Below are 11,048 nucleotides of genomic sequence, written 5' to 3' on the forward strand. Positions count from 1 at the left end.
GAAGACTGGTACTCTGAAAAGTACAAAAGAGTGCTGAAAGAAATGAGAGAAGACTTGAATGAATGGAAAGATATTCTGTGTTCACGGATGGGAAAACTCGATATAGTTAAGATGACAATACTACCCAATGTGATCTAAAAATTCTGTGTAATCTCTATCCAAATCTTAATGGCATTTTTTTGCAGCTTAGAAAAAATCCATTCTAGGCCGGGCGTGGTGGCTCACGCCTGTAATCCCAGCATTTGGGAGGCTGAGGCGTGTGGATCATGAGGTCAGGAGATCAAGACCATCCTGGCTAATACACTGAAACCCTGTCTCTACTAAAAATACAAAAAATTAGCCGGGCGTGGTGGCGGGTGCCTGTAGTCCCAGCTACTCAGGAGGCTGAGGCAGGAGAATGGCGTGAACCTGGGGGGCAGAACTTGCAGTAAGCCGAGATCCTGCCACTGTACTGCAGCCTGGGCGACAGAGCAAGACTCCTCCGTCTCAAAAAAAAAAAAAAAAGAAAAATCCATTCTGAAATTCATTTGGAATTTCAAAGGACCCTGATTAGCTAAAACAATCTTGGAAAACTTGGAGGATCCACATTTCTTGATTTCAAAACTTACTACAAAACTACAGTAATCAAAAGTGTGGTACTGGCATAAGGACAGAAATATAGACCAATGAAATAGAATACAAAGCCCAGCAATAAACCCTCACATTGATTTTCAACTGATTTTCTACTATACTGTCAAGACCATTGAATGGGAACAGTCTTACTAACAAATGGTACTGAGAAAACTAGATATCCATATGCAAAAAAATGAAATTGGACCCTTACCTCACCTCACATACAAATATCAACTCAAAACATATCAAAGACCTAAACGTAAAAGCTAAAACTACAAAATTCTTAGGAAAAAATAGGAAAGAATCCTCATGACTTGAATTTGGCAATAATTGCTTAAACATGACCACAAAAGCATGGCAGCAAAAGAAAAAATAGATAAATCAGATTCCATCAAAATTTAAACATTAGTGCATAAAAGGAAACTACAGTATCAACAGAGTAAAAAGATAATTCATGGAATGGCAGAAAGTTTCAAATCATGTATCTGTTAAGTGATTAATATCTGGAATATACAAAAATTCCTACAGCTGAACAAAAAAATTCAACCAAATTAACACTGGGCAAGGGATTTGCATAGACGTTTCTCCAAAGAAGATATACAAATAGACAACAAGCACATGAAAAGATGCCCAACATCATCAGTCACTAGGGAAATACAAACCTAAATCACACTGAGTTACCACTTCATATTCACTGGGATGGCTATTACAAAAATTAAAATAATGGGAAAAGGAAAATAACAAGATAACAGTGTTGGTGAGGACATGGAGAAACTGGAACCTGCATGCAATGTTGATAGAAGTTTAAAATGGTGCAGCCACTGTGGAAAATAGTTTGGCCATTCCTTAAAAAGCTGAACATAGAATTACTCTGTGACCCAGAAATCTCACTCCTAGGTATGTACTCAAAAGAACTAAGTTGGATGTGGTGACACATACCTGTAATCTCAGCTACTCAGGAGGCTAAGACAGGAGGATGGCTTGAGCCCAGGAGTTTGAGACCAGCCTGGGCAATATAATGAGACCCTATCTCTAAAAAAAAAAAAAAAAAAAAAAAAAGAAAGAAAGAAAAAAAGAAAAAACTGAAGAAGATACTTGTACACCAATGTTCATAGCAGCATTATTCATGATAGCTAAGAGATAGAAACAACCCAAATGTCTATCAACAGATGAATGGGTAAACAAAATGTGGTATAGCCATACAATGGAGTATTATTCAGCCTTTAAAAAGGAAGAAATTCTGACACATTGCTACGGATGAATCTTGAAGGCATTATGTTAAGTGAAATAAGCCAATCACAAAAGGACAAATATTGCATGATTCCATTTATATGAGGTATCTAGAATAGGCAAATTCATAGAAACAGAAAGTAGAATAGAGGCTACCTAGGGATGGGGAGAGCATAGAATAGGGTTTAGTGCTTAATGAATACAGAGCTACTGTTTGAGGTTATGAAAAAGTTCCAGAAATAGTGGTGATAGGTGCACCACATTTGAATGTACTTAATGCCACTGAATTCTGCACTTTAAAATAAATTGAAATTTACACTTAAATTTAGGTCTTTGATCCATTTTGAGTTAATCCTTTTCTCAGCAACTGATAAAACAATGATGCAGAAAATCAGCAAGGAGAGAACATCAGAGCAACACAATCAACCAACAGAACCACTGCACGCAACAATAGCAAGCTACAAGTTATTTTCAAACATCTATGAAACATCCACCAAGGCCGACATTGTCCTGTGCCATAAAACAAGTCTCAACAAAATTTAAAGTACAGAAATCTGCAGAGTACATTCCCTGACCATGGAATAAAACCATAAATCTATGACAGAAAGAAAACAGAAAAACTCCAATCATGTAAAAAGTAAGCAACATACTTCTAAATAATCCATAGGTGAAAAGGGAAATCTCAAAGGAAATTAAAAATACATGGAACTGAGTGAAAATTAAAATAGAACATATCAAAATATGTGGGATATACCAAAAGCAGTGTTGAGATTCTTATATCACTGAATGCTTGAATTAATTAAAGAGAAAAATTGTCCAGTCAACAATCAAAGTCCCTACTCAAGAAACTAGGAAAAGGAAAACAAAATAAAGTAAACATGGGAGGGAAATAATGAAGAGGAGAAATTTTCATCTTACTGATTTCTCCTCTTCATTATTTCCCATTTTCTCCTCTTCATTATTTCCCTCCCATGCTTGCTTTTTGTGTTTTCTACTGTTCTAGTAAAGAAAAGTTAAAAAAGAAAAAAGCAATTAACAAATCTGTTTTAAAAGCTGACAAAAGAGAAAAGACACAAATTACCCATGTCAGGAATGAAGCCGAGCCATGACTGCTGCTCCCGCCGCCACTGAACAGCTAATAAGGGAATATCTTAATATCTTAATATCTTAATCTTGTAGATATGTGAGGATGGCTCTTTTTCCTTCATAATAGATTACATGTATAAGCAAGTCAGGGCCATGTACTGGAGACAGGCTAAAGCTGCTTTTCCCTTAAAGAAAGTTTCCTACAGACAAGGTATTTATGAGCATTGAGAAAGTCGGGACACGTACTCTAAATCACAAAGAGTGTTAATTCCACAGGAAGGCAACGCCAGACATTGGAAGAGGATCACATTCGACTTCTAATAGTAGTTCAATAACAAAACCTTAGCTTTTCAGAAACAATGTTAACATACGTTAGAATTGCCACATCCATACCTTCAAAACATGCAATGTGTGCACCCCAATCACTGCTTACAGTATAATCAGTATGACGATGAGATTGAGGGGGTCTAAATTTAAGTGTATCATCTCCTGTGTTATGTGAAAATATCCCTCAGTACAAAACATTTGTGTATTTCACAGATGACTCTTGTTTTGCCATAACGCTACAAAGTTTATGGAAACTAGTCAACTGAAGGATTTTTCTGTTGTGTGATATGTAAAGGTCTGAATAGTAAAATCATCTTTGCATTCCTGAAGTGTTAAAAAATAATAATCAACATGTCAGATTGTTGGGCTTTTCTTAGCAGATGTTTTCTAATTCAAAGTTTTTGGTTGTGTTTTTGTTTTTTAGTTCAAAGTTAATTTGTTTGCCTCTTGAAGATTAATTTGTCTCAGCTTTCTAGGAACTGCCAAACAGTGATATTCTCAAAAGGATTCAATAAACTAGTTCAAAAAATGTTCCTATCTTCTATTGCCTTAAATCTAATCATGTTCTGTGAACTGCAGTCCTAGTGTGTAGCACGGCGTGATTTATCACCCAGAGTTCTCCACTGTATTTCAAAGTTGATTTACCTCAGGAAAACTGAGGGTTTATTGAGTAACTCAAATTTTTCCAGAGAAACTGGTTTGAAGTATCCAGTGCAACTTGCCAAGCTCTGTCTTTGTTTATAAACTCACTTACTGGTGACATCATTCAGGGTAGTCCCTCTCTAAAAACCTTGAATTTTGTCTGGTCTTCTCGGATGAGGAATTCTGAACCTGGTACAATCTCATTCTAACTCTTCTCTTATGTACTAAGTACTTATATTATATACCTTTCTGTAACTTAACAGGAAAAGGCTGACCATTTTTGGTATTTTTTCAGTGACACATTTTTCAGTGTCTAAGCTCACACTCATTTGTAATTAACTACATGATTTTTAATACAATTTCTACTACTTTGGGTTTTATTTCCCAGGTATAGACATTGTCCTCTTAATGTTTTCTTAAGGAATTATTCAGAGTAGATTATTAACAACTTAAGGTCCTAAACAGATATACATGGGACATGGTTGTTGTAAAAAGAAACAAATCTGTAAGACACTAGGAAATTCAAAATGCTTTCAAGCTTTCTTTGAACTTTACTACTGAATGATTTATTTGCAACTCATTATCTGGTGTAGTGGGGAAGAGCTACTTATGTCTCTTTAAGCCAAGATATATTTAAGATAACAATAAAGATAAAATATATATTTCACTATCTAGATTTGATTTTGACACAATGAAAAGCTGATTGGTTCACAATTAAATGGACAAATTTTCCACAAGTAAGAGATGAAACTCCTGGCTTGGAAATCCTGGGGATTGACAGGTTGAATGTCCTTGGTCTGTGGTGAGCATGTTCACATTTCAACACATGAGATCTGGTGTGCTTTCCGTATCAGCTCCTCAGATTTTGTGAAAAACTAGAAGATAATTTTTTAAAAAGCAATGTTGAATACTTAGAATCATATTTCTAATAAAAATAAGTCAAACTATTTAATTTTGATAAACAGTTTCAAAACAAACATGAACTGAACTTATACTTGATGACATAATTTTGTAAATTCATGATGAATTTGTCTTATTCTGATTTATTTACTGTTTTAAAAGATAGATGTTTCTTTTCTACCACTGTGAAAGTGTAATGTGTTCATTGTATTTGGAAAACGTGGAAAGTAGAAGATGACTGTTCTTACTTTTTCACTTTTACAGAGGGTAATTTTTTCCACACCATAGAAGTAGAATAATCATACTTCTAATTTGAAAATTTGAAAATGTGAAAAAAAAAAATTAATCCAAGATCATATGAACATTTAGGGCTAAGAGTTGAGATTATACTGAATATGGTTTTGCATTGAATATATTACAAGCCTTTTTGTGTCATTTAGTATTTGATAAAACATGATTTTTAATGCCTGAATACTCTTCTAACACTTGTATGTATTGTTGTTGATTGAATCTTTCCTCTATTGTGGAACATTCAAATTGGATCCAAGTTTACCATAAGTAATAATACAATAAAAATATCTATACATTATTTGTGATGTCTCTGGTTGTTTTCTTAGAGTGCCACCTTAATTATCTTTGTGAGAAAGTCCTCAAGAATCCTGCCATTAATTCAGATACTTTCCCTGCTATTGATATGTCCCTTTAAGAGCTCTGAAAATACTTAAGAAACTTAGTAAGAAGAAAGAAAATTAATCCTCTCTTCTGATTCTTCAGTTCCAATTCTCTGTGGCCACTGGATTTTTAAAAATCCTGTTGTCCAAAGCAGCTCCCATTTAATTGTTTCTCTCTGACAGTAGGGAAACTGGAAGTCAGAGGTGATACCATAAAAGGAAATGAATGAAGCAGATGTATGAATTTTGATACATACAACAGATGTCTTTTGATGACACTTCCTGGGCAATATAGTAGTAATCAAAGGAAAACTGGTAACATTTTTGGTTACTATGCTTTAAAGAAAAATTTATAAGCCTCACACAGCTGACATGGTTTATTTACCTTCAGGAACACGGTAGTACTTAGCGTAAGTTAGAATCCATTCATTATTACGTGTGACTGGAGAGATATATTGCTTAAAAGCTATACCAGGCCCTACTTAGGAACAAGTTACAACTGCATTTAAATCACTCTGTTTATGTCAAAATAGTTAAATAGCAGAATCTAGAGGGGGTCTTGATTAACATGAGACAATAAATATTTGCAGAATCTGATGCCTACCAGAGGAAACTCTAACCCAGACAGGAAAGTTCTTCAGAGTAAAAATCAAGAAGGGTGAGAGTGGCTATGCAATAGAAGTAAGCCTTGGCCTGGACCCAGACAAGATCATTGCACAAGAGATTGGTTTTGGAAGTAGATTTGGCTGAGATTAAAGTCTTGAGTGACATGAAGACAATGTTAAAGATAAATCCAAACTCTTCTTTATTGCTTGACACTTTTCCAATCAGCATCAACTTCATTCCTGGTAAGTTGGTGTAGCATGGTGAGTTCTGCCTTATTTCATACTTTATTTGGTTAGAATCTGGGGGAGGGGGTAAAGGTGCAGGTTGGTTATTTCAAATGTGCAGACGACCTCCACCAATTTTGCAGTATAGTGCTATTACTTCAGGGAATACACCCATAAAACTTTGATTTCCTAGTAATTCTGCTTTTGTGCATTCTTAATTTGAGACTCAGTGAGGGTGAAAGAGTTGTAGATTTGGCAAACGCTGCACTATTTTCTCACATTTTTTCGATTTGCTAAGACCAATAACAAATGTATTACTCCTTTTTTTCCTTTAATTTTTAAATCCATGGCCTTTTCACTGCCTTTACTTTCCATGTGTTGCCACTGTATCCTCCACTGTATCCCCCACATTGGTCCCAGCACTTGACACTTAGTAGGCACTCAACCAATACTTGTTGAGTGAACAAGTTTAATGCATTCCAGTTTTTTTAGTTTTTAGATGATGTTGTGCCTAATGCACACTCCTTCCTTCTTTCACTCCTTCATTAATCCTTTTGTTCATGTCTTTTACTTATGCCAAGCTGTCACACTGTGTGCATGAACTGAGGGATTTAGTTTTTCTTCCACAGCCCCAGAGCCAGCAAATGACTGACCTTAAATCTAAAACTGTAGGAGTTTGGTCAGGGTGGTGGGAAAAGTTGTAAGAAAAGGTTATAGGGAAAGACACAAATCTTCTTGGAAGAATGGGAGGTTTTGCAAAAGCTTCAAAGGAGAATTTAGCTGAAGGCAGTTAAATTCTCTTAAGAGCAAGGGTTAGATAACAAGGGAATGTAAAGAAACTTATCTAGATAAATTGTTCTACTTATATCTCTGGAAACCAACCTTTGATCATTCATGTGCAGGACTGCTCTCTACTTGCAGGGGTTGACAATGTTAATTACCCACAAATTGTGTTTGCTCCAAGCCCTTGTCATTAAATCTGTACTAAATAAATTCAAGTGGGGCCAGCTTAGGGGGCTGCACTCCTTTTGGCTGCTGCACTCTCTCATTGGCAGTGCTGAGTGGTGCAGTCCCCTAGCTCACTGTCAGGAAAAATACCTGTGTCAGGGAACTCCTTTCATTCATCGCTTGGCCAGAGTCTGCGGGACAGATCAGCATAAAACACCCATTAGTTTTCACCTTTACTCTTGCAGCATGAGTTATAAAGCCAAAGACCTCAAGAAAAGCACACTCCTTAACAGCCAGTTCAGAGGTGACAGCCAGCGAATAAGAAATAAGAACCTTCCAGAGGATGGAGCCACCACCAAAAATGACAGAAAAGAGGGTTCCTCCCAGAGAGTAGATTCAGAGGCTATTTAAGGAATTTCTCCATGCCCAGTGTAGGGAGCTTCTCACTACTTGCTACTCAGGATTTCCTTATGATTATAATCTAGGGACTGCTGCTTGCCTGCCTGTCTTCTCTTTCCTGCATAGCAGGTTTCTTTATTTGTTTAATTTTATTTTTTTCTTCAATTATGGTGGTCTTTTCACTGTTCTACCATGACAAGAGGTAGAAGAGAGACATTTTTTACCCCTACATGGGAGGCAGAAAATTGGCCTTTTTATTCAAGAATGCCAAACCAGAAGCTGACATATCAGAATCTGATACAAAGGATAGTCTATTCCCCTTTGGACTTTGGACCTTGGACTTTGAACTGGATGCAATAATGGTATGAGACCCTTGGGTAGGAATGAGTGTCTTGTATGTGTGGGAAAGACAGGAAAGCAGATATTTGGTGACCTAAAAAGAAGGCCATGGCAGAACCTCATTAGCTATTCAGCAATCCTATTTTCCTTTCCTCCTGGGCACACAGCTATGTATTTTCCAGCCATCCTTGTACTTAGATGTAGCCCAGTGACACTTCTGAGAGTGGAATATGGACAGATGTGATGGGCACTGCTGGGACTGGACCATAAAATCCTTCCACATTATGTCAGTGCCTCTTTTACTCCATTGGCAGCTGGATATTGTCATCCAGAGAGATGGATGACTTAGAAGCCACGTGCAGAAGATGGCAACCTTCCATCAGCATGGATCCTTGAGTGACTGTGGAGTGCAACGCCTTCTACCAGTTAGAACTACTGTGATTGACAATCACATTTCATTTGTATTAAGCTACTGATTTGGGGGGTTTATCTCCTTCAGCTCCCACATTAGTACAACTCATGCAGAATGGAGAGTGACTGTGAACACACATGGCACAGGCTGGTGAAACCTAGGACTTTATAGATGAATTTCTGATTATACTCTCCTTTCTTGCAAAAAGCTTTTTTCAAATTAAATGTTATAATATAAATGTGAATACTAAATGTCTTTCTAATGAAATGATGACTAACTGTAGAAAAGAAAATGTAGGAATGTATACATCCTTGATAAGAGTGTGAAACTGACACAGGCAATGTAGAGAGTCTTGCTTACGGATAATGAACAAAAGAACATACCTGGGTAAAAGAAATGAGAGGTTACTGATAACAAAACTAATATCTATATTGCACAATATAAAACATTATTTTATACTTAGGATTACATTTGATTTTTGCAAATCCCTGTGAAATAGCTATTATTATCAGATCCACTTTATGCATAATAAAAACAAGACTCATATGGGTTAGCTAACTAGGCTATGGTCTCTCCACCAAGCTCTACTTCTCTGATTGAGGAGATAGTAGTATCTAGAGCTTCAGTGTTCTTTCTACCGCCCTATGCTACCACCCAGTGCAGATGTAAGAACAAAACCTACTAGTAACCTGCTATTGACTGTTTAGAACTTTAGCAACTTTAATTATCCAAAACATAGCTGTGAGACCAAAAAGAGGAAAACAGTTTGCAAAAGCCCACATTTATTACACCATGAAAGAGCCAGGTCTGTGAAATGTTGCCTAGAATTTGTGTACTAAACTCAGCAAAATGAATTAACAAACTCAGTGACCTCATTTTCTCCTAAATTTCAGTAAATGGAAGATTTAAAAGATGAGAAAAATAAAGACAGAAAATTTCAGTTGACAGGGTAGAGGACCCATTGAAAGATTGGATGTCTATGTGTGGTATGTAAAGGCAGGTCCTACGAGTGTTAGGCCGGCCTAGGCACGTGTTCTCTCTTTTTTGTTGTTTGATTCTCAATTTATGACAAATGAAGAATGAGGCCTTTACCTGGTCTGGATCGACTTGTTATGGAGCTCACGTGAAATGAAAATGATTCATAAACAAAACTGATCCATCCCCAGCAACAGCAGAGATGACCATGAACAATTAGCCACCTGAGAATCCTCAACAATTCTTGGGGAATGCCATTAATTACATTTTATTAAAGGGCAGGGATATCCAAGCTGACATATGGGTTACAAAGGCAAAGTATAATTTCTTTATGGGTTTTGATAATGTGAAATATAAATTAATAAGCTTTTCAATTTTACTAATACAAACATACCCATCAATTGGTCATCTTCAATTCAGAAATAACTAAAGTTTGAGGGTATCTTAAATCCAAAAAATAAAAACAAAAACCTAACCAGCAGCCATTTGCTGAATTCCTGAGTGCTTAGGACTCTCCATTTCTAGTCTAGCAAACATCTTCCAGTTGCAATTTTAAACTTTTTTCCCACATCTTTCAAGAAACCTCTAATAGTATCAAGTTCAGCACACAAAGCTAGCTTTCTGTAAGCAGTCTCATCTACCCACCTTTACTTTAGACAGGCCCCTAAAGTCAACCTTAGTATAAAAAGGACTTTTCTTTTATTATTAAAAGTCTGTTCTCTAGCCAGGTGTGATGGCTCATACCTGTAATCCCAGCACTTTGTGAGGCTGAGACCAGAAAATTGTTTAAAACCAGGAGTTCAAGACTACCTTGTACAATGTAGTGAGGCCACCATGTCTACAAAAAAAAAAAAAAAAAAAAAAATTAGCCGGGCATGGTGTTGCACACCTGTGGTCCCAGCTACTTGGGAGGCTGAGGTGGGAGGATCACATGAGCCTGGTGGATGAGGCTGCAGTGAACCATGGTCATGCACTGCCCTCCAGCCTTGGTGATAAGAGCAAGACAGATGTTTCAATAATTAAAAAAATAAAAGTCTGTCCTCTGCCTCAAACGGACTTTGCTGTTATATTAAAATGATTGAAATATGTATAAACCAGGTGTGGTGGCTCACACTTGTAATCCTAGCACTTTTAAGAGGCTGAGGCAGGAGGATTGCTTGAGACCACAAGTTCAACACCAGCATAAGCAAGATAGTGAGGCCCTATCTGTATAAAAAGTATGAAAACTAGCCAGCTGTGGCTGTGTGTGCCTATATTCCCAGCAGCTCAGGAGGCTGAGACAAGAGAATCCCTTGAACCCAAGAATTTGAGGTTACAGTGAGCTGATTGTGAACTGCACTCCAATCTGGGAACCAGAGTGAGAACCTGTCTCAAAAAAAGAAAAAAAAAAAAAAAGAAAGAAAGAAAAAGAAAAGAAGAAAATATGTATAAACGAATGTTTTAAATTGGAACAATTACTATAGCATCAAAACGCACATTTGATGAGATGTGAAAATTTATTCTTAAGTATTTATCCATTTCTGGTTTTGTAGCAAAGGCATTATTATACTTCTATAACTTGTCTAATAGAATCAGATAGAATCAAGCAAAGTTGGCAGAGCCTAGGCATCTACCTAAAAGAAATGCTCTCTCCCATTTCCGTGAACACATTAACTCCTCCTGAGTTCCAGTGGCACT

This window comes from Homo sapiens, chromosome 2 (genome assembly GCF_000001405.40).
Source record: "Homo sapiens chromosome 2, GRCh38.p14 Primary Assembly".
Classification (NCBI taxonomy): Eukaryota; Metazoa; Chordata; class Mammalia; order Primates; family Hominidae; genus Homo; species Homo sapiens.